This window comes from Homo sapiens, chromosome 2 (genome assembly GCF_000001405.40).
Source record: "Homo sapiens chromosome 2, GRCh38.p14 Primary Assembly".
Taxonomy (NCBI): domain Eukaryota; kingdom Metazoa; phylum Chordata; class Mammalia; order Primates; family Hominidae; genus Homo; species Homo sapiens.
The window spans coordinates 238184284-238208219 of record NC_000002.12 but is presented as its reverse complement, the minus strand read 5'-3'; the positions used below and the strand labels follow the sequence as shown (position 1 = coordinate 238208219).

General features: G+C 44.7%; 1 protein-coding gene across 5 annotated transcripts in view, besides 5 other annotated features; it reads left to right on the top strand.

The window, feature by feature from the left end:
* Positions 3644 to 4516: an enhancer, noted in NCBI's record as "H3K27ac-H3K4me1 hESC enhancer chr2:239112345-239113217 (GRCh37/hg19 assembly coordinates)". NCBI's record gives its function as "activates a minimal SCP1, AML or CMV promoter by ChIP-STARR-seq in naive and primed H9 embryonic stem cells {active_cell/tissue: H9 hESC(naive and primed)}" and the evidence as "EXISTENCE:reporter gene assay evidence [ECO:0000049][PMID:30033119]".
* Positions 3644 to 4898: a biological region, named in NCBI's record as "H3K27ac-H3K4me1 hESC enhancer GRCh37_chr2:239112345-239113217".
* Positions 4329 to 4898: a silencer, noted in NCBI's record as "silent region_12489". NCBI's record gives its function as "represses an Ori minimal core promoter by ATAC-STARR-seq in GM12878 lymphoblastoid cells {active_cell/tissue: GM12878}" and the evidence as "EXISTENCE:reporter gene assay evidence [ECO:0000049][PMID:35858748]".
* ILKAP (ILK associated serine/threonine phosphatase) overlaps positions 4525 to 23936 on the top strand; it is a 33294-nt gene continuing 13882 nt past the window's right edge. For 2 of the 5 annotated variants that reach the window (XR_007082537.1, NM_030768.3), the window contains exons 1-6: positions 4525 to 4721; positions 13350 to 13415; positions 13889 to 13945; positions 18248 to 18367; positions 19963 to 20089; positions 22933 to 23039. Coding sequence is in view for 4 of the 5 variants with exons in the window: in NM_030768.3 (NP_110395.1) it covers positions 4667 to 4721; positions 13350 to 13415; positions 13889 to 13945; positions 18248 to 18367; positions 19963 to 20089; positions 22933 to 23039 (532 nt within the window). In the remaining variant the exon portion in view is untranslated. Of the gene's footprint in view, positions 4722 to 13349; positions 13439 to 13888; positions 13946 to 18247; positions 18368 to 19962; positions 20090 to 22932; positions 23040 to 23936 lie in introns of those variants that run through there. The other 3 variants (XM_006712784.2, XM_017005057.2, XM_017005058.2) reach the window with 3 other exon arrangements.
* Positions 5019 to 5108: a silencer, noted in NCBI's record as "silent region_12488". NCBI's record gives its function as "represses an Ori minimal core promoter by ATAC-STARR-seq in GM12878 lymphoblastoid cells {active_cell/tissue: GM12878}" and the evidence as "EXISTENCE:reporter gene assay evidence [ECO:0000049][PMID:35858748]".
* Positions 5479 to 5538: an enhancer, noted in NCBI's record as "active region_17379". NCBI's record gives its function as "activates an Ori minimal core promoter by ATAC-STARR-seq in GM12878 lymphoblastoid cells {active_cell/tissue: GM12878}" and the evidence as "EXISTENCE:reporter gene assay evidence [ECO:0000049][PMID:35858748]".

The window sequence follows — 23936 nt, the reverse complement described above, 5'->3', positions numbered from 1 at the left end:
ATAATGGCCCTGAATTCATTTCTCAAATTATTCAAACACTTGCACAAGCCCTACAAATCACCTGGAAGTTGCACCTCCCCTCTCGACCTCAATCTTCAGGAAAGGTTGAAGAAATGAATGGCATTCTACAAAAACACCCTCACCAGGTACTCACACCAAACACATAAAGACTGGGTTACACTTTTGCCTTTAGCCCTTCTAAAAATTCGGGTGCTCCAATGTAAACTTCTAACGCTCAGCACCTTTGAACTCATGTATGGGAGACCATTTGCCCCTCTGCTCCACCTCAGGGTCAAGCCCCACCTCCACCAATCCCTCTCATTTCCCCTCTTGTACATACCATCTGCCATTTCATTTAGGAATATGCTGACAAATACCTGCCACAACCCATCACCGACTCCTTTAATCCCTCCCTACAGCCAGGAGACTGGGTTCTGGTAAAATACCCCAGTCCTACCCTCAATTCCTGCTTCACACCTAAGTGGAAGGGACCTTACCAGATCATCCTTACCACACCCACAGCACCGAAACTCCAGGGACTCCCCAGCTGGTTTCATTGTACTTCTCTCAAGAAAACAGACTTCCCTTCACCACATACCCAAACAACCAAGTCTGAAACCCCTTCGGCCTTCTCTCGTGTCTCCCAGGACCCACTTCTCTTCGCCTCACCCAAATCCCTGAGGAAAAGGAGGAGAAATCCACATAAGCCGCTTATGTCTCTTTCTCTCCCAAACTTTCATCACTTCCTAACTAACCTTGTTACAGACCTTCAGTGGTGCCCTTAGGAAGCTCCCATTATACATCCTGATCAGCTCGTTACTGCTCTATGGGACCTATGGCTTCAAGGAACTTTCCAGGACTTTACTCCTACCCAAATAACTTTTTTCGCTTTTTGCTTGTTTCTTTCAATATAAATTCCCTAATCACATCAACCTCATCAATACAACCACTCCTCACTGCTCTCAAACTAGAACGCTCTATAAACCTTACACAATCTCTCTTGCGGCAAGCTAACTCTTCCTTTGCTCTGGAATGCTGGGTGTGTTTATCGCTGTCTTCCTTAGCTTACACAGCCCTTCCTACATTCCTTCATGACCTTTTAACAGGAAACACAACCCTAATTTATAAACTCCAAAAAGGAGCTTCCTTTTTTGAAAGAGCTGACACTCTAGTCGGTGATTATCCCACTTCCAGGGCCGATCAGGCCAACAAATTATTTCAAACCTAGGATAACTCCCTACAGCGCCTTAAGCCCCACGGCCCTCCCATTGAAGGGCCCATAACTAAACACACTCCTCCTCTTATAATGAGCCTCACTTTGCTTTTCAGCCTCGGAGGGAAATTTCCCTGTAGGGTCCTTAACATCTAACCTATGCAACCACACTATCATTGTTAAACACCCCTCTGACCATCAAACTAACCAGGCTAACTACCAAGTATCACCTGAAGCGAACGGAGCATTTCTGCAGCTGGCTCGTTTGACAGCCTTTCCCTCAGCCAATGCCTCCAGCCTAACCTGTGCTGCTCCTAGTGCCCACAATTTTCCTTGGCTCAATATCAATAGTGCAGCATCCGACCGCATTAAATCTGTAAAAAATAACTCTTCCTATACCTCTAGTATAGTAGGTGTCTCCCAGGCCTCCTCCTTGTCCACCTGGAGTAATGAACCACAGGAAAGAACAAACACCTCATCTTTAATTCACTTATTTTCTGTCCATATCTCTGCTTGTATTTACAATAAAGGCTTGTTCTTTTTGTGTGGTCTCAACACATATTTCTTTGTCTCCCCATCAACCAGACCAGAACCTGTACCCTAGTTTATCTTTCTCCCTCCATTGGACTAGTTCCTCCTAATCAATCTTTACCCGTTCCATCCATCCAATATGTTAGGAAGAGGAGAGCCATCCACGTCATTCCTTTAATGGCTGCCTTAGGTATAACCTCCGGGCTTGGGTTGGGAGCAGGCTGATTCGCCACCTGCTTAACATACTTGAAATCTCTTTCAACAGAACTGCAGAGTTCATTAGAGCATATGGCCCAAAGCCTTATAAGAGTCCAAGGCCAACTAGACTCCTTGGCTGGAGTAGACTCCTTGGCTGGAGTAGTCCTCCAAAATAGACAGGAATTAGATGTTATAACAACTGAAAGAGGGGACCTCTGCCTCTCATTCGGTAAAAAATGTTGCTTCTATCTCAATCAGTTGGGCCTAGTAAGAGACGCTGCTAAAAAACTTAAAGAAAGGGCTAAAAAGCTAAGAGAATAACAAGACAACCAAATAAATTACTGGTTTAAAAACAAAGTCCTAATATGGGTCATCCCATTCCTGGGCTCTCTCCTAAAAATATGCCTAGGAATAATGTTCTTACCCTGCTTAATTAACCTTTTTCTAAGTTTTTTTTATTTTTTTGAGACGGAGTCTTGCTCAGTCGCCCAGGCTGGAGTGCAGTGGCGAGATCTCGGCTCACTGCAAGCTCCGCCTCCTGGGTTCACACCATTCTCCTGCCTCAGCCTCCCAAGTAGCTGGGACTACAGGCACCCGCCACCATGCCTGGCTATTTTTTTTTTTTTTTTGTATTTTTAGTAGAGACGGGGTTTCACCATGTTAGCCAGGATGGTCTCGATCTCCTGACCTCGTGACCCACCCGCCTTGGCCTCCCAAAGTGCTGGGATTACACGCGTGAGCCACCGCGCCTGGCCACCTTTTTCAAAGATTTTTAACCAGCAGGATCATGGCCATCTCACAGACAATTACCCAAAAACATCTACAGACAGCGTTACTCCTACAATCAATCTGAAACCAAAGAACTCTCTGCTCACTCCCCCAGCAGGAAGTAGCCAGAAAAAATGCGCTGCCCCTTGTCCTTTTCATAACTATAGAGACTGGATTGATAGAGCAGGAGCATTGCCATCTTGGACAAACACCACCTTTCTAAGTTCCCCTTGATTAAAAAACCACCTAAATCCTACCCCAAAACATCAGCCTAACGGCTAATGTCAGCATAACCAGAAATATTCCAACCCTAAGATAAACCTCTCTTCAACCAGAAACATGCTAACCCTGAAATAACCTCTCCTCCAATAGCCTCCCCTCCGACCAGAGACATTCCAACCCTGCAATAAACGTTCCCCCACTTCCAAAACCCTTAAATATCCTTAGTCTGTAAGAGAGAATGCTTAGTCTGTAAGAGAGAGCGCTCCTGATCGAAATTGGCCAGAATCCCCTCTCAGGTTTATTCTCTGAAATAAACCTTTTAATGTTGAGCCGCTTTTTGTATTTATTTCCTCTTTCTTTAACGGTTACAAGCATTGTTACTTGAGTGTTTCTGCTGTAATGGAGGAGGCAGCATGAATATCTCAAACGGTTGCTAGTGAGAAGCCACGCAGATGAGAGGCATGAAGCCTTGTTGGGCTCCCTCCATGTCCTACAGCCAGAGAGCGTCAGAAATACATCTGCCCCAGAATGAACTGGGCTGAAAACTCTTTGCATGGAGGGAGACCACATAACCTGGGGAACTTGGGTAAACGATGTTGGAACGGAGGTGTAAGATTTGGGTTTGTGTTAGTTGATTTGGGGAAACATTTATGGAAACGGGCCTTTGCTCCGGATTGGATGTCAGGAAGAGGAGGATTCCATGATTGGATATCTTGATGAAGCTTATCTAGACGGCAGGAGGACGAGACAAAGGCTAAACATGTAATGGTAAAGAAGCAGCAATCACTCTTATTGGCCAAGACGAGGGGAATGTGGTCACTTTTGTGGCTTGGACAGTGTTCCTGTTTTGTCTGTGTTCACACTTGATTACACAGTGGTCTGTTTTTTTCTCTTGATCTGTATCACGGCCTGATGTTGGTGTTTTATGAAATTGTTCACATTCAAAGAGAACACCCAGGCCTAGCTGTTTGTGCCAGACCAACCCCAAGTCCTGGCTGCAGAACCAGGCCAGCTCCCCGATGTCAGTGGCCGCCTTTCTCTTTACAGGCATGGAGGGGGACACCATTAAGGAGGAGCCCCTCTTCTCCGCTCCCCACAGACACCAGTGGGTGCAGACAAGTCAGGGAATGCCTCCTTTCCCTCCGGCATCTTTTGAGGTTTCCGTCCTGACGCCCAGGGCCGCTCCATCCAAGCCTCGGTTTCTCAGTCTCTAAAACAGGCCAGAAACCAGGCACGCCGTGGTGAAAGGACGAGCCGAAGAGATGGCAAGAGCTCCAGAAAGCCTTCCCAGGCATCAGGGGCTGCCCTTGAGCTCAGACGTTTCTCTCTGGACAGGGCTTCTTGGACAGGAACTCAACGAAACTTGACAGAAATCGGACACCCCCAGCCAAGGAAAAGCAGGAGGGGCCCGGGGTTCGCCAAGGCGGGAAACACCGCGGGGCCCAGACGGCGCCGTCCGCCCGGCTCGCAGTCGGGGCGCGGGAGGGGCCCACGCGCATGCGCACCGCCCCGCCCCCAGCCGCCCCGCCCAGCCCGCGCGCAGCCCTCTGGGGCGGCCGGGCCACGCCGCGCGCCGATTGGTGGCGTCCGGGACTCTCCCTGCAGGTGACTGACGGCGCCGGCCGCCCCTGCCCGTCGCCCGCCCGCTGCTGCCGCCCGCCCGGGGTGTGGAGCCCGGCCGCTGCTCGCGGGCTGAGTGTCTGTCGCTGCTGCCGCCTCCACCCAGCCTCCGCCATGGACCTCTTCGGGGACCTGCCGGAGCCCGAGCGCTCGCCGCGCCCGGCTGCCGGTAAGCGGCGTTGCCGCCGGGCCGGCCAGGGAAGGGAGAGCAGGCGGGATGGGGGCGGCCTGAGGCCCGGGGCGGCTGAGGCGGCGCCCGCGCTGGGAGGCGGCGGGCGGCGCGGGCTGCACGGGGCCTGCTCCTGCCTGGCCAGGCCCCGTCCGGCCCACTGGCGGCCCTGTCGGAGGCCCGGTCGCTCGCGGAGCTCGGAGAGGCCGCTCCGCCATTTTCGCTACGCAGGAAGGAAAGGGCCGAGCCGTCGTGGCCACGGCCCCTCTGCGTGGCGGTGAAAGGCGCCGGCGCGACCGCGTGGGCCGACCCGAGGGACCGGCTCTGAACGCCCGGCGGCACCGCGGGCCCCCGCGCCCCGATTCCACCCGCGGCCTGGGCTGCCTTGCGCGTCGCCCGCCCGCGGCTTCCGGGCCGCACTTCACCCGCGGGCTGTGGAACGGCCGCGTTCCGGGCCGGTGCAAGTTCAGGGGCTTGGCGTTTTTATTTGCACTGGAGATTGAATTAATCACCATCTTAATCCTTCGTGTTTTTGAAGCCTGGAAGACAGGATGCCTCCTCTGTCATCCTGTGATTTTGTGATAATTAACAGTAGTTTTTTTTTTTTTTTTCTGGTCCACGGGAAGTTCCCCCTCTCCTTGAAGTTAAGGGGTCCGCTCATCTCCTAAGCGCTGGCCCCTGCCAGTGGGAGTCCCTGTGGGCTGTGGTTTGAGCTCAGCATCCTAGCAGCTTGAAACAGGGCCTGTGTTAATCCCTGCGTCCTGTGGGTTACAGTCTCCGGGTTTCATCTGTCAAAACGCGTGAATATTTCATATGCAAGACTTCCAGCTTGATGTTGTAGTTTAGGGCCTTATTACAAAATTTAACTTGGGGGCAGAAAACCTGGAAAACTTAAGACGTTCAGATTTCCAGGCCCACCTCAGCCCCAGTAAATCCGAATCCCTGAGAGTGGGGTTTCCGAATCTGTTACTAAATCCCCAGGCCAACCCAGCGGGGGCTGGAGACCAGTGGTTTGGGAGCTGCTGTTGTAGGGTAGACGGAGGTGAGTAAGGCCCAGCCTTCGCTTTCTAAGAGCTGCTTTCTGAAGGGTACTAATTACGGTAATTAAAACTGGCAAAAGTTAATGACTGTGGGAAATGCTGAGGACTCTTGAGGAGGGATTGTCGGGCACCGAGAGACTGGGGAAGGAGGCAGTGTTTGAATTGAGCTTCCAAGGATGTTCAGGCTTGTGATTTGCAGTAATTCTGGGCGAGAAAACATTTTATTTTATTTTACTTTTTGAGACGGAGTCTCACTCTTGTCGCCCAGGCTGGAGTGCAATGGTGAGATCTGAGCTCACTGCAACCTCCGGGTTCAAACAATTCTCCTGCCTAGGCCTCCCTACTAGCTGAGATTACAGGCGCCGACCACCACACCCGGCTAATTTTTATATTTTTAGTAGAGACGGGGTTTCACCATGTTGGGTAGGGTGGTCTTGAACTCCTGACCTCAGGTGATCCGCCCGCCTCGGCCTCCCAAATTGCTGGGATTACAGGTGTGAGCCACCGTGCCCTGCCCCCACTGACCGTTCTGATGGTACAGAGCATCTCAGTAACTGGTCCTGGAGTCTTTGAACTTGACTCAGCCATTCATTTTCAAAATAACCACGGTTTTAGCTGTGGGTAAAAATTGGATTTGTGTAGCAGTCTTTTTTCTCTTGTCAATGGAGTATAATTTCTATCTGAATATATTTGGGACAGCATTTGGATTCACCAGTGTGCGTGTAAACCTATGAGTCTTAAAATCTCCATTGCTTTTTACCTGCAATTAATTAGGTTCTGCTCAGGAGCAGGCTCCCTTGACTGACAAAAAACCTGGCAACTCAGAATCTCATAGGTTGGCACCTTAGCAGCCTTTTGCCAGATACAGTGGGAAAGGTACATCCTGTTGCCGTTTTTTCCAAACTCAGTTTCCAACCTTGACTGAGCTGAAAGGGTGGCAGAGGGGGTGCATGGTGTTTAAACTGCTGACCACCCTGAGATTGGATTGGTCAGCTGCTCCCCATCTGCCAGGAGGGCACTGACATTGTCAACAGGTCCTGCTTGGCTGAGTGTATTTTTAAAAATAGCTTTAAAACGAAGAAGATCTCAGAATTTGTAGATGATTGGAAGCTGAGAGGGATAAGTACTAAAATGAGTGACAATTGGGATCCATAGTTATCATTGCAGGCTGTTAGCTACAACCAACAAGATGAGATTTGACAGGTTAAAATCGTTTGTACAAGAACAGAATCTGGTTTCACATACTTGTGAAAATACTGTGATTTAAAAAAAAAAAACATACTTTGAATAAATCATATTGATTGCTAAAGTGAATGGAATAATGAGTCTAAACTGTGCATCATGACCCTCACACATGATATGTGGGTACCACAAATCTCTAATGCAGTGAACAATAAAAGACCTCGTTATTTTCCCAGAGCGCAAGAAAAGTTGTTCAGAAAGTGTAACCAGACTACTTGGTTTAGAATCCAGCTCTTCGCTTACTAACTGTGCCTTCTGTGGCTATTCCTACATGTGTAAAAAGGGGTGACACTTGCCACTGTTACTGTACAAATTAGTACAGTATGTATGGTGCTGCACATAGTGTGGGGTAGAATGTATAGTGTTTTATAGATGTTAGCCAGGGTTATTATTTTTGAGACAGCCTCATTGTGTCGCCCAGGCTGGAGTGCAGTGACATAAACACAGCTCACTGCAGTCTCGACCTCCGTGGGCACAGGTGATTCTTCCACCTCAGCCTCCTTGGTAGCTGGGACTACAGGTGCGCACCACCACAGCCAGCTAATTTTTGTATGTTTTGTAGAGACAAGGCTTTGCCATGTTGCCCAGGCTGCTCTCGAACTCCTGGGGCTCAAGTGTTCTGCCCACCTTGGCCCTCCCAGAGTGCTGGGATTACAGTGGTAAGCCACTGTGCCTGGCTGAGCCATTAACAGTTGTTTAAAAGTGGAAAAACGCAGTCTTAAATGAATTATGGGAAAGCACTGAGTGTCCAAAGGGAGAATACTACACTGCTTATATCACATCAAATGTATTAATATTTTGTTTAGATCTTTTTATTTTTGTTTTAAACGTTGCATCTAATGTTCCCACCCCTAAACCTCTTAAATGTTTATAATCTAGAAAAATACATAGAATGCACTAAATATTTCAGGTATTTTGCTAAATTAGTAGTTTTCATCCAAGCCCTTAAAAGTTTTAATTGCTGAATGAATCAAGTTTTTTAAAGGAGAGATGTATATATTTTACCTAAAAAAAAGTGTTTGTTCATATCAGGCAGAAATGGAACTTTCCTATGTCATACCCATAAAAGTGCCGACCTGATGTCTTTAAGATTGGCAGCTTATATTGACAATCCATGTATGTCAGTTGAAGGTGTCATGGTTTAAAATTGCTTCGCCAGTAACTTGATTTCACTTTTATAGGGTGGTTCTTTTACTTATTTGGTTGCTACACTAGTACTTTAAAAATTGATGGTCAGTTGTTGAGGAGGAAATAAAATATTTGATGGCCACACCATCTTAAAAATACTTTAAAAAAATTGGAGGCTGGGCTCGATGGCGCATACTTGTAATCCCAGCGCTTTGGGGGAACAAGGCAGGAGGATGGCTTGAGGCCAGGAATTTGAGAAGAGCCTGGCACAACTTCGTGAGACCCCTGTCTCTACGATTAAAAAAAAAAAAGAAGAATATTTGAACATAAAGGTTAAGGTATTAGAGGAAAACAGATTGTAAAACTACAGGGTTGAACAAGAAAAAAGTCATAAAAAAGTGAATTTGACTATGTAAAAATTTAAAATTTCTGCAGGACAAATGATACTATAAAGGCAAAAGACAAACCGAGAAAATAATTGCAATATACATTACTAAGGGTATAAGAAAGGCTCACAGAATTGATGGGAAAAAATAAAACCCACTAGAAAAATGGTCAAAGGATGTATCCTCCCAGTTCAGAGGTAAGGAATACAAATGGCCCATCAACAGAAAGTTGCTGAGGAACTATTTACCTTTTCACCCATCAGATTAGCAACAGTTGGTAACATTGGTGAATGTGTAGCGAAGTAGACTTTCTCATAAAGTGTTTTGGGAGTGAAAATTACAACTTTTTGGGGAACAGATTTTGGCTTCTATCAGATTTAAACTAATATCCTTTGACGAGCAGTCTAGCAGATTAAGCAGGAATACATGTATCAGATTGTTGATTGTGGCGTCACTTATCATATGAAGAACTGGGAAAAGCTTGAACCCATCAGTAAGGATCTGGTCGAATGAGTGGAGATGCTTCCCATGTGTGGCTGTTGGAGAGGATGAATTAGACTTGGGTGTGTTGGCCTGGAGCATGCCTTGATGGGTTATGTGAACACTATATGTGGAGTATTGTGTAGAGTATGACTCTGTCTTCTACAAATTAAAATGCATGAGTCCATGTGCATGAGCATTAAGGAAAGTGGAAAGGATACACTAAACTCATACTGTGGTTGGGGGGTGTGGCGGAACCTGTCCCCCCTTTTTTCTGATAATACCTCTGTGGTGTTTGGAAAACACCTGGATTTATTTTATAGTTGAAAAAATTGAGGTATAAAAAACAATTTAGCCAAAATATTTTAACATCCTTTTTTAACTTTATTGGATACAGCAACCTTTAACCTGAATATGATCAACCCAAGGGTATTTTTCTCAGCATAGTATATAACTTCCAGTAGACTTAGCTCCAGAATGTAGATAACTGAGGAAAAAAAAAAGTTCTAGATGAGATTAACTATGATTAATGGACATTTTTAGTCTTGTATTCTTATTAGGGTTCTAATATTTTTAAGATTAGGGGAGGGGCCTCTTCCAGATTTTTAGGTCAGGGTCACACTTTGTCCAATGATTGCAGCCCCCAATGCTTTGAATTTCAGTTTATTCAAAATAGAATGTAAGGGCCTGGAGCAGTGGGTCACATCTGTAATCCCAGCACTTTGGGATGCTGAGGCAGGAAGATTGCTTGAGTACAGTAGTTCGTGACCAACCTGGGCAACATAGTGAGACCCCGTCTCTACAAAAAGTTAAAAAATTAGCTGGGCATGGTGGTGTATGCCTGTAGTTTCAGCTACTCGGGAATCTGACGAGGGAGGATTGCTTGAGCCCAGAAGGTTGGGGCTGCAGTGAGCTGTGATCACACCACTGCACTCCAACCTGGCTCACAGAGCGAGACTCTTGTCTCAATTTAAAAAAAAAAAAATCTAAGGTTTTGACTAATCAGTAGTTTCCTTATGTATCTATGACCTATAGATTTTTTTTTAAAGAATCCACATACAGACTTCTAAGTTAGATTCTTTTGATGATGCAAAAATTATTTCCAGAGATTTTATAAAATCTCAGGATTATCATCATAGGATTGTTGTAAGGGTAAAATGAGTTGATGTTTATGAAGTTTCTGGAAGGGTGCCCATGTATGGAGGCAGCATAGTACCTCACTAAAAGCACGGACTGCATGGCTTTGAATCCCCACTCCACTCCTTACTGGCTCTGTGATCTTGAACAGGTAATTGACCTCAGTGCCTCAGTTTTTTCATCGGTAAATAATAATAGTACCTATCTCATAAGAATTAAATGAGAAGATGTGTGGAGCTCTTAGAATAGTGCCTGACAGGCAGGCAGTATTATCATTTTTAGAAGCCATTCCCAGTTGTGGCCAGCAAAATGTAGGATGGTCTCATTGTGTTTAATTGAAATACCTCTCATAGTATTCCAGAGTGAGAAAGAAGGTGATAGGCAGTTCTCTGGGGATGGGGCTCAGTTTGGGGCACCATCTGACTGAATTGTAGCCAGAGGAGAGGCGGCCAGGCTAGTATTAATACTAAGCTGTAAGTTGCATTGTGAGGAATGCTTACAAGAACTGAAAATATATTTATTACCTGGGTAAAAGAAGACTTCCTCCCTTGTACAGTGGCAGTGGAAAGACCTGATTTAGATGGGCAAGTTAATTCAAAAGTTAAAATATGACCTGGTACAAGCGGAAGGGTTGTTTGCTCTTCATGTTGGGCTGTTACCTGTAAATGTCCCCTCCCTTGTCCTAAGACATCTGGCTCTGTGACACCACTGAATGCAGCGTGATTGTCTGGAACATCTCATGTGGTTTTTGAGTCTGTCCGGAGAACGGGCGTTGTGATTGTTAGACCCAATGTTTGGGCAAAAGTGACCTACTTCGGGATATTAGGAATTCTTGTAAGTGGATTAATACATTGAGTAATGGTTATCCTAAATACTTTTTTTGGGTGCTGGGGACAGAGTCTGGTTTTGTCCCCCAGGCTGGAGTGCAGTGGCGCTATCTCAGCTCACCGCAACCTCCGCCTCCCAGGTTCAAGCAGTTTTCCTGCTTCAGCCTCCCAAGTAGCTGGGGCTACAGGCACCCGCCACCATGCCTAGCTAATTTTTGTATTTCTGGAGAGACAGGGTTTCACCATGTTGGTCAGGCTCATCTTGAACTGCTGACCTCAGTCCTGACCTTGACCTCCCAAAGTGCTGGGATTATAGGTGTGAGCCACCACACCTGGCCATACTAAATACTTTTTAATGGCTTTCTTCTGCTTCTTGTATACTTCTAATAGAGTCTTTATGTCACTTGTAAGAAAAGTGAAAGTATTTGCAATTCCTTAATTTGTTTAGGGTCATCCTGAAGGATTAGAATACATTTTCCCATTTGTATTAGGGATATAAAGCAAAATAGTTATTTTTTGTTAACTCAGGAATTTCTTGTGTATTTTAGGTACTTCTGACGCAAAGACCCCGGGAGAAATTTCATTCCCTTAAGTTTATAAATTTTTAATTAAAGCTTTTGTTTTTAAAAGAAGAAAGTTGATACCCAGCTCATTTCTAAATGGAGGCAAAAAGATGATAGGGATGACCCTCTTGGGGGATATAAATTTATTTGTTTAGTTGAATTGGTGTTTGGCCTGGCACAATAGCTCATACCTGTAATCCCAGCACTTTGGGAGGCTGAGGCGGGTGGACCACTTGAGGCCAGGAGTTTGAGACCAACCTGGCCAACATGGTGAAACCCCGTCTCTACTAAAAATACAAAAATTAGACCAGACATGGTGGCTCACCCCTGTAATCCCAGCGCTTTGGGAGGCTGAGGCAGGCAGAACACTTGAGGTCAGGAGTTCAAGACTAGCCTGGTCAATATGGTGAGACCATGTCTCTACTAAAAATACAAAAATTATTTGGGCATGGTGGTGTGCGCCTGTGATCTCACCTACTCAGGAGGCTGGGGCAGGAGAATAGCTTGAACCCGGGAGGTGGAGGCAGTGAGCGAAGATCACATTACTGCACTCCAGCCTGGGCAACAGAGTGAGACTCAGTCTCAAAAAAAAAAAAAAAAAAAAAAAAAGTGAATTGGTTTTTAAGTGAGTACTTTTTTTTTTTTTTTTTTTGTGACAGAGTCTCACTGTGTTGCCTAGGCTGGAGTGCAGTGGCCCAATCATGGCTCACTGAAGCCTTGGCCTCCCTGGGCTCAGGTGATCCTCCCACCTCAGCCTACTGAGTAGCTTGGACTACAGGCGCCTGCCACCACACCTGGCTAATTTTTGTATTTTTTTCATAGACATTTTTTTGCCATGTTGTCCAGGCTGGTCTCGAACTCCGGGACTCAAGCAATCCTCCCACCTCAGCCTACCGAAGTGCTGGGTTTATAGGCATGAGCCACTGCGCCTGGCGTAAATGAGCACGTTTTTATACTTGAACTCTGAGGAGCAAGAGGTGGGATAGAGCTGGTGTGTTTGGTTGGTGTGTTGAACTTTGCAGGAGGTGAACGTGTATACTTTCAACTTGGATTCTTGTGTGCCAGTTCAGATATCTAATAGCTTAAACAGAATTTCAGGAAAAAGCTGGAAAATAAGGAATGGTCGTTAAATTTTATGTGGAAAAAGATAATTGGGCATAAAACATTTAAGACATACTTTTGGAGTGTAAATCTTCACATTTTTTGTTAAAAGAGTTTCGTGACTTTCTCCTGAGGCTATCTGTCTTTGGTTACCTGAAACTCCTTTATTTTCTCCATAGCTATTTATTGAATCAGACACTGTGCTGGGGCTAGGGACACCAGGTTCCAACAGATTTTCTTCCCTTGCAGAATGTTACCGAAATAGGATTTTTATAAACCTGTAGGTCTTTGAAGGCCCCTCCTCCACCCCACCCCAAATTTCTGAACGTCTATCAGGAAGTCTCAAGTATTGTTTTCCTGGTCTAGAATCAGTTTTTTTCTTCCCAGGATTCTATTTTAAAGAAAGACTTTTAAATGTTTCATGCTTTCAATAATGAAATTATCAAGAAAATACTTGTTTTCCTCAAAATATTCAGTGGCCCTGAAGATGCCTGTTAGGGCATCAATCATTGCTTTTATGTTGACTGTAACTGTTGGAAACAGATGTCCATATTAAAAAAGCTGTTAAGAAAATATGTTTTAAAAATTTGCCCAACAGGAAGGAGAAAATTAGAATCTAATAGCAAACTTGTGTCAAAGCAGGGGAGACCACATGATCTTCCTCTTTGAAAATCTGTCCTGGGTGATGACCATATGCTCTCTAAACAGGTTTTCTGTGTTTTAGGGAAAGAAGCTCAGAAAGGACCCCTGCTCTTTGATGACCTCCCTCCGGCCAGCAGTACTGACTCAGGTACAGTCTTCAGGCTCTCCCAGGTGTGTGTCAACGTCTCTACTCATCCTGGGATTGTAGTTGTCTCAATCTTTTTCCCTTTCCCCCATTTTCAACACACAGATGTTTTAGGTGTTGGACTGTCTTTAAGTTTTGAATCCATGGCATCAGGTAAGGCAGAAAAATCTGCTAGTCGCTAGCCCTGAGAAGTACTGCGAGGAAATGTGGAGCAGTTTTCTCTGGTTCATTTGAGTATTTATTTTACTACCTGAAGTACAATTTAACTTTTTAAGGCAGATTTTTATTTCCTTTGAAATAATAGGACTTTAAAATAGGTTCAAGATATTATTCATTGCAGTATGAGTTGCCACTGGATTGACGCAAAGTTTTGAGTTTATTTCAGTAACCTACATAGGTGTCCTGGTGGGATGGATTCTGAAACTTAAGTCTTACATATTTTTTGTGGGCTCACTAAGTGTTCTGCTGTGTTTCAGGATCAGGGGGACCTTTGCTTTTTGATGATCTCCCACCCGCTAGCAGTGGCGATTCAGGTAAGTGGTAGGAAAAATCCAAGGTGCTGATGGAAATAATACATAGTATTTTACTCTTATGTGAAATTTATGTATAGGTTTTAACGGGATTTTGGATGACATTAAGTCATAATACAGCATAAGGTTTACTAAAACTATAAACAGGCACATTAATTGGAAGCACAAAGATAATACTGTATCACTTTCTGGTGATATTAACTTCTTGAGGTTCAGATTGTTGGAACTGCCTTTAAGAATTAAGAGTTCACTAATTTACTCTTAACTTTGTTATTAACATTTTTTAAAAATTCAGAGTTCATTATTCCGATTTGCCTTGTTAAACAGAGTGCTTGACTCAAATGTATCGAGGCTAGTAGCATTGGCTCTACCTCCTCCTGAAAATGTTCCTTTTCATGTCCTAATTAAGTAGAAGGGAAGAATAGAGCAGATTCCTGTTGCCATTGCGGCAAAGGTATGATTCTGTCTCATGAGAACTTCTTAGGTAGAGCTCCTCTGGTTGGGGAAGGTGAGGGTTAGGAGAGGTTGGGAGATAGATGGTGTGGGGGCAGTGGGGAATGCAGGTAATCCCATTTCGTATGCAGGTATATTTTCTATATTTTAGGAAAAGTACTCCAGTCATCTTATATAAGAATTCTCAATCTTCAGGGCTGTAGACCCATACCAAAAAATTGCAGCATCCTCACACTCACAGTGTGGCCTGAAACCTTCCCAATAAAGATAGTACCCTTAGTTGTAATGAAAGTTAATATGTTCTGGCTGGGCGTGGTGGCTCACGCCTATAATCCCAGCACTTTGGGAAGCCAAGGCGGGTAGATCACTTGAGGTCAGGAGTTCAAGACCAGCCTGGCCAACATGGCGAAACCCTGTCTCTACTAAAAATACAAAAATTAGCCAGGCATGGTGGCATGTGCCTGTCGTCCCAGCTACTCAGGAGGCAGAGGCAGGAGAGTCGCTTGAACCCAGGAGGCAGAGGTTGCAGTGAGCTGAGATCACGCCATTGCACTCCAGCCTGGGTGACAGAGAAAGACTCTGTCTCCAAAAAAAAGGAAAGTTAATATGTTCAAAGAAGGCTGTTAAGGGATTTAATAGAAGAAATGAAGATACAGCATAGCTGTCTCTTATTTATCTACAGGACAAAAGGCAAAGTAGTAAAAAATTTAGAAGATTTACATAACACTATTAACAAGCTTAATTTTTTGGATATATAATCTTGGGTCTAGTGTTTTAGATTTCTAGAGAAGTTAACACATTTTTTTTTTCTTGAGACGGAGTCTCACACTCTCACCCAGGCTGGAGTGCAGTGGCACAATCTTGGCTCACTGCTACCTCCACCTCCCGGGTTTAAGCGATTCTCCTGCCTCAGCCTCCTGAGTAGTTGGGACTACAGGCGTGTGCCACCATGCCTGGCTAATTTTTGTATTTTTAGTAGAGACAGGGTTTTCCCATATTGGCCAGGCTGGTCTCGAACTCCTGACCTTGTGATCTGTCCGCCTCAGCCTCCCAAAGTGCTGAGATTACAGGCGTGAGCCACTGCACCCAGCCGATAACACATTCTTTTTTTTTTTTTCCTTTTTTGAGACTGTCTCTCTCTCTGTTGCCCAGGCTGGAGTGCAGTGGCGCGATCTCAGCTCAGTGCAAGCTCTGCCTCCCAGGTTCATGCCATTCTGCTGCCTCAGCCTCCCAAGTAGCTGGGACTACAGGCTCCCGCCACCACGCCCACCTAATTTTTTTGTATTTTTAGTAGAGATGGGGTTTCACCATGTTAGCCAGGATGGTTTCCATCTCCTGACTTCGTGATCCGCCTGCCTCGGCCTCCCAAAGTGCTGGGATGACAGGTGTGAGCGACCTTGCCCGGCCCGATAACACATTCTTAAGCGGGCAGGAACCATTTACAAAAGTTGATTATGTACTAAGCCATAAAATAAGCCTCAATGATCTGTTTCTTGTACAGACTACATTCTCAGACTACAGTGTAATTTGCTTAGAAGTCAATAACAAACCTGTAAGGTGTCTTTATTTTGAAATTTTATTATTTTTCTTTTTTTCTTTTTCTTTTTCTTTTTTTTTTTTTAAGACAGTCTCACTCTGTTGGCAGGCTGGAGTGCAGTGTTGCGATCTCAGCTCACTGCAACCTCTACTTCCCGGGTTCAAGTTCCTGTCTAAGCCTCCCGAGTAGCTGGGACTATAGGCACCTGCCACCACACCCAGCTAATTTTTTGTATTTTCAGTAGAGACGGGGTTTCACCATGTTGGCCAGGATGGTCTCAATCTCTTGACCTCATGATCCGCCTGCCTCTGCCTCCCAAAGTGCTGGGATTACAGGCATGAGCCGCTGCGCCTGGCCTTTTTCTTTTTCTTTTTTTTTTTTTTGAGATGGAGCCTTGCTCTGTTGCCTAGGCTGGAGCGCAGTGGCGAGATCTCAGCTCACTGCAGCCTCCGCCTCCTGGGTTCCAGTGAGTCTCGTGCCTCAGCCTCCCGAGTAGCTGGGATTACAGGCGCTACCATGCCCGGCTAATTTTTTGTATTTTAATTAGAGACCGGGTTTCGCCATGTTGGTCAGGCTTGTCTTGACCTTCTGACCTTAGATGATCTGCCCATCTCAGCCTCCCAAAGTGCTGGGATGACAGGTGTGAACCACCACACCTGGCCATCTGTTTTGGAATTTTAAAGGAAGAAAGTTTCACATCCATATGGGGAAAACTGGAACCCATACAGTAAGCCACAGGACACTAATGGGGACCTTTGGGAGAGATACTGTTGGAAACATCTGTGTTGCCTTATGCAGGGTGCATATGTGTATTATGTTATACTGTTGCAGAAATAGGGCCTTGTGCAACTAATTTACGCTTCTTGAGGGCAGGAACATTTTCATTACTTTTTCCTCAGCACTAAGAAATGTCTGACACAGGCGGTTCAAGACCAACCTACCCAACATGGTGAAACTCCGTCTCTACTAAAAATACAAAAATACAAAAATTAGCTGGGTGTGATGGTGCACTCCTGTAGGCTGAGACAGGAGAATTGCTTGAACCCTGGAGGTGGAGGTTGTAGTGAGCTGACGTTGCGTCACTGCACTCGAGCCTGGGCGACAGAGTAGACTCCGTCTCAAAAAAAAAAAAAAGACACCTTGTGTTTACCAAAAAAATTAAAAAATTAGCCGGGTGTAGTGGTTCCTGCTTTCAGTCCCAGCTGCTCAGGAGGCTGAGATGGAAGGATCACTTGAACACAGGAGTTGGAGGCTGCAGTAAACTGTGATCATGCCACTGCATTCTAGTCTGTGTGACAGAATGAGACCCTGTGTCAAAAACAAAAAGAAGAAGAAATGTCTGGCAAAGAGTAGGTTGAGTAAGTAAATAAGTACTTGCATCCTTTTTTTTTTTTTTTTTTTTTTTTTTTTAAAGAGAAACGTCTTACTACTTTGCCCAGGCAGGTCTCAAATGCCTGGGCTGAAGTGATCCTTCTGCCTCAGTCTCCAGAAGTAGCTGTGACTGCAGGCATGTGCCACTGCATCTGGCTGTTGCATACTTTTATACCTAAATGCAGAGAACATTTCAAGTCATTTATTAGGACAGCAGCTGCCCTTATTGGAGATTGATGTGTTAGGCACTGTGACAAATGCTCTTCCTACTTGTCCTGACCCATTTTCAAACATCCCTCTGAGATGACAGTATTCTTACCATGTTACGCACGGGTGAAGACAGCTGAGACTGAAAGATTAAGTTGCACACCTCTTTGAAACTTGACTTTTCTCATTTCAAACACATACACTGCAGATTCCCTTAGCTTTGAGTACAGATTCATCCTTTTGCTAGTGGGAACAGCTGTGGCAGCCTTATTTTGCCTTTGAAAGGATGTATTACAGTTCTTAAAGGCTGCCATTTACCTCATTTTGAGCCTTTTCGAGTACTTGTTACTTTTTGGAACGTGATTAGGATATGTTAGTTTGCTTACAGATTTTGTAAGTGTTTGTTTAACACTAAGAGCCTGTGGATATAAAAACATGTATATGCTACAGGCCAAAAAAAACCATGTATTTTTACCACTGGGAAAAGTCTTTTACAAACCCCTTCAGCAGGGTCAGTTTGACTCAGGGCCTGGATCTTAACTTTATGTTCTCTCACTGTGGGACCCCCCTCCCCCTCCCCGCCAACCATGAAGACACAACTCCTGGGTCTGCCTGTGTCTGCCAGTCCTTGCTTCAAATGACCTTGTCTTTGAGTGCTAGGATGAAGCCCAGTCTACTAGTGACTTTTTCCAACAGTCTACAGCTGTGTTTCTGTCTGGCTTTTACTTTATTTCCAGGTTCTCTTGCCACATCAATATCCCAGATGGTAAAGACTGAAGGGAAAGGAGCAAAGAGAAAAACCTCCGAGGAAGAGAAGAATGGCAGTGAAGAGCTTGTGGAAAAGAAAGTTTGTAAAGGTTTTCAGACAATTTGAAAACAAATGTATTAGACTTCATATTTTAAAACAACCCAGAGCAAAACCAGTTTCAGCTTTCTAATAATACTTTCTTTTTATGTCTGTATTTAAGAAATAAGTAGGGTTCCCTTTTTGCAAATGAATTTCCAAGTTTCTCTGTGCTTTCTCCTACTTTTCATGTACATCTATCTCTGATCCTACCTTTGATCAGATAGGAAACCTACATTTGTTCCTCAAGAGTTAAAAAATACAGGTGGTTTTTTTCTTAGCCTTCTGCAGTGAATGGTTAGTTTTTTGACCACCTAGTCTCTCTCTGACTTCCAATCTTTGTTTGCAGTTTGTCAATTAGTGCTTTGAATTACGTGATTTAGCTTAGTAGGCAGCTTCCCTAAGCCTGGAAAAAGCCGTTGAAATTTGTAGTCAGTTGTGTAACTTGTCAAAGTTAGTGAGGAAGAAAACGAAAAGTATTAACTAAAGAGAATACTTCAGTTGTGGTACTAAAGTATTCTTGAGCTGTGGGATTTTCTTTTTTTCTCTTTTTTTTGAGACAGAGTCTCGCTCTGTCGCCCAGGCTGGAGTGGCACCATCTCGGCTCACTGCAAGCTCCGCCTCCCGGGTTCATACCATTCTACCTCAGCCTCCCGAGTAGCTGGGACTACAGACGCCTGCCACCACGCCTGGCTAGTTTTTTGTATTTTTAGTAGAGACGGGGTTTCACCATGTTAGCCAGGATGCTCTCGATCTCCTGACTTTGTGATCTGCCCGCCTCGGCTTCCCAGAGTGCTGGGATTACAGGCGTGAGCAACCGTGCCTGGCCCGAGCTGTGGGATTTTCATTGACTGCATTGTCCTTTGTCACAGATTACCTCAGTGAAAGCTGTATGATGCAGGCAGAGGTATGTGAAAAAACCCACTTGTAGCTTTGCTGGGAAGATGTCATCTTCAACTTAGCTTGTCACTTCCCAGAAGACAGCTCTTCACAGTGTTCATTTTATTATTTGTCTGGCATTAGGTATCAGAAAATAAGCTTAAATGAGTCTAACCATTAAATGTAAATAGATCTCTGCCTGCATTGGAATCTTTTATCCTTTTCTTCCTCAGTTGAAGTAAAAGCAGCTGATCTTACTGTTTGTTCAAATTCTTCACCAGCCTTGAGCATGGAAATACATATTTTCAGGGCATCTTAAGGGCTTTTGAGATAAACTCTCCTGACTTGCATTTGTCCTTATTCAATTATCACAAGACTAATTTGCACATGATCCTTTTGCCTGATTTGAATCTCACTTCTCTGGGATGGCAGCACATCCCTTGCCCTGATGCTTTGACTTACACCCTAGACAGAGTTGTTTTGTGCTCACTGACTCCTCTTTTGTGTCCCTGTGCAACCTCTTAGAGCTCACCCTGTCCAACAGTGCTCCGATTTGAGTTATAGACTTGCAGCTGGGGGAGATGCCTTAAGGGGTATTGCTTATTTGTTTGCGCCATTAGGATATTGCTGAGTCAGACAGTCATAGTTCCCTCTCATTTGCTCTGGGACTAGGGTTTCCAGAGGGTTGGGCACAGTTTTGTATTGGCTCTTTTGTTCTCTTTTCCTTAGCCTCTTCGGTGATCTTTGGTCTGAAGGGCTATGTGGCTGAGCGGAAGGGTGAGAGGGAGGAGATGCAGGATGCCCACGTCATCCTGAACGACATCACCGAGGAGTGTAGGCCCCCATCGTCCCTCATGTGAGTCTCATGTGGTAGGAAGCCCGGCTGGCATTAACATCTCCTGGGTTCTGACTGGCATTTTGGACTGGCTAGTTTGTATTTACTAGAAAATCTAACACATCACTTGATTGTACATCAGTGATTCTCAGCTGGGGTTGATTTTGCTCCCCGCCCAGGGGACATTTGTCAGTGTTTGGGTACATTTTTGTCACAACTGCGGGAGGGAGTTGTTACTGGCATCTGGTGGGTAGAGACTAGGGATGCTGGTAAACATCTTAGAAGCACAGGGCAGCCCCACAACAAAGAATTGTTCAGCCTGGAATGTCAGTAGTGTCGCGGTTGAGCAGCCCTGCTGAGCGGGAGATGACGCTTCATAGCATGGCTCTGCAGCGTGTGTTACTCCTTACCAGCAACTGAGCGGCTTCTGGCAGAGAATATTTTTAATCCATGACCTAGAAGATAAGAGTTGGAAGCCACTAATTAAAGTATGAATGGTGATCAAGCAGAGCTAGTACAGATAATCAGGGCCCAGGAAGAACAAAAGTCAAAATGATGTCAAGGAAAAGACAGACAATGAAAAATTAGCTGCAACTATACAAACTAAAATGAAGCCTTCTGGATAAGCTCTTGGGCCTGGAAAAAAACCAGAAGGTAGGACATTAAGTTGGCTGTAAACATACATTATAGTACATATTACATAGGTTACATAATTCAGAATTACATAATAAATACATTACGTACCTTTACTGACACCAGTTGGTCATTAACATACAGTGTGCTGGAGCCGTTTGGGCTGATGGCGTTTGTCCAGTAGATGAGGTCTGCTCATGGAGATGAGGTGATGGCTGCTGCAGAGCAGCTGATCATATGTAGAGGGGACGAGATACACACCCATTGAGACAGGGTCTTGCTGTCTTGCTCAGGCTGGAGTACAGTGGCACAATCATAGTTCATTGCAGGCTTGACCTCCTAGGCTCAAGCAGTCCTCCCACCTCAGCGTCCTGAGTAGCTGGGACCATAGGCATGTGCCACCACAGCCGGCTAATTTTTTGAATTTTTTGTAGAGACAGTGTCTCCTTAAGTTGCTCAGGCTTGTCTCAGAGTCCTGGGCTCAAGCCATCTTCCCACCTTGGTCTCCCAAAGTGCCAGGATTACTCGCATGAGCCACCATACCCAGCCTGGGATTTGCATTAAAACCAGGAAAGGGACCTCTGGAGCCCAAGAAGGCAGATCCATTGAGTGTAAATTTAATTGGGAACACTACATCATGCCTTGCAAATAACAGGCAGTAAGAACAGCTCTGAGTTATAAACCAGATGAGGTTTTTTTTCTCATGGCTCAGGATGTCCTAAATTGAAAAGGAATTCCAAAAAACTTGAAAGAAAAGCAGCTCTCTAGAATAAATGTCATTTCTCGTGGGCATTTTTGTTTTTTTTTTTTCCTTGAAATAGTTTATTTGATGTCTTTTATTCCATATATGTGGGTTTTCTGGCAAAATTTGAAAGGGGAATGGGAATAAGAGTAGTAAGATAGGTTTTAAAAATGAGATATTTAAAATTTATTTGAGTAACAATTCTGTAATATCCTCCCTGCTCTTATGCAGTCATGTGCTGAATAACAACATCAAGTCAGTGATGGACTGCATATATGACGGTGCTCCCATAAGATTACAAATTTTGTAGAGATGGGGGTCTCGCTATGTTGCCCAGGCTGGTCTTGAACTCCTGGCCTCAAGTGATCCTCCTGCCTTGGCCACCTCCCGAAGTGTTGGGATTAACAGGCGTGAGCTGTCGTGTTCAGCCATAATACCATGTTTACTGTACCTTTTCTATGTTTAGGTATGTTTAAATACACAAATACTACCAGTGTGTTACAACTGCCTATGGTATTTAGTGCAGTAACATGCTGTGCAGTTTAGCCTAGGAGCAATAGGCTCTACCATGTATGTAGCTTAGGTGTGTAGTAAGCTGCGCCGTGTTAGTTTCTGTAAATATGTTCTATGATGTTCACACAACAAAGTCACCTAACAATGCATTTCTGTTAAGTGATGCATGACTGTATTTTTTACTGTTTTCGATAAATAACTTGATCTGTTTGTTAATGTTTAAAACCAAATCCGATTTAAATAGGAACGGAGTTCTGAATTTTAGTTTTGTTGTCAGTGAAAAATCAGAATTAACAGATCTTGATCTTTGAAGCAAATGTGAGTTTTAAACATTTAATGTAAAATACTGGGAAAAGTGTTACATCTCTTTTAGAATATTAGACCTTTAGCAGGTCTTGCAGTCTTCACCAGAAACACTCCCACACCTACACACACACAGTGTTTTTGTTTTTTTTTTTTTTAGACAGAATCTCGCTCTGTCACCCCGGCTGAAGTGCAGTGGTGCGATCTCAGTTCACTGCAAGCTCCGCCTCCTGGGTTCACGCCATTCTCCTGCCTCAGCCTCCCGAGTAGCTGGGACTGTAGGTGCCTGCCACCACGCCCGGCTAATTTTTTTGTATTGTTAGTAGAGATGGGGTTTCACCGTGTTAGCCAGGATGGTCTTGATCTCCTGATCTCGTGATCCGCCTGCCTCGGCCTCCCAAAGCGCTGGGATTACAGGCATGAGCCACCACACCTGGCCCACACACAAGTATTTTTTTTTTAAAAAAAGATAAAATGCTGTGAAAGTTACTTAAATATTTGTCTCAGTTAAAGCCTTTTTTTTCCCATTTGTAACAGTGTGACTGGTGTCTTAACCAGTGTGACTTCCTCTGACTTATTAATGTTCACTCTTTGAGACGAAATTTAAAAGCTTTAATGGAAAAGTGTGGTTTTTGCTGTGAGAATTTGATTAACTCTCAATTCGTTCTTTCAGTACTCGGGTTTCATATTTTGCTGTTTTTGATGGACATGGAGGAATTCGAGCCTCAAAATTTGCTGCACAGAATTTGCATCAAAACTTAATCAGAAAATTTCCTAAAGGTGAGACTGAGAACTAAATCAGTTGATACTCAAATTGGTTATTGCTGTTTGGTTGGCTGTGTGAAGCAGTCAGATGTGTTATTTTGGCTTTAGCAGAGAATCATTGATGAGTCTTAAAAGAGTGGTGCTGAGGAGTGGATGCCAAGGCTTCCAGGAGTAGCGGCCATGCAGGTGTGACTTAGAATGGCACTTCTCATGATTCTAAGTGATAGGCACCTTTTGTCAATCGTCTTTGGGTTCAGTTAGTGTCTTGCCTTTACTGGAAAACTAGTAAACCAACTTCAAATAGCACTGTGTTATATGTGAGGAAAGAAACAGAGATTGTTCTGGCTGGGCACGGTGGCTCACACAGCACTTTGGGAGGCCAAGGCCAGAAGATCACTCAAGCCCAGGAGTTTGAGACCAGCCTGGCAACATAGGGAGACTCTATCTCTATAAAAAAAAAAAACAAACCTAACTGGACATGGTGGTATGTGCCTGTGGTCCCAGCTGCTCAGGAGGCTGTGGTGGGAGGATTTTCTGAGCCCCAGGAGGTTCAGGCTGCAGTGAACCACAGTTGCACCATTGCACTGCAGCCTGGGTGACAGAGTGAGACCCAGTCTCAGAAAAAAAAATTTAAAAAAGGAAAGAAATAGGGATTGTTCTTAATCATGCTTGAAAATCAATTGATGTGCAGAAATTACAAAAACAAAATGGCCAGCCCTGGTGACCCACGCCTGTAATCCCAGCATTTGGGAGGCCGAGGCAGGTGGATCACGAGGTCAGGAGTTCGAGACCAGCCTGGCCAATGTGGTGAAACCCTGTCTCTACTAAAAACACAAAAATTAGCCTGGCATGGTTGCGCGCGCCTGTATTCCCAGCTACTCAGGAGGCTAAGGCAGAAGAATCTCTTGAACC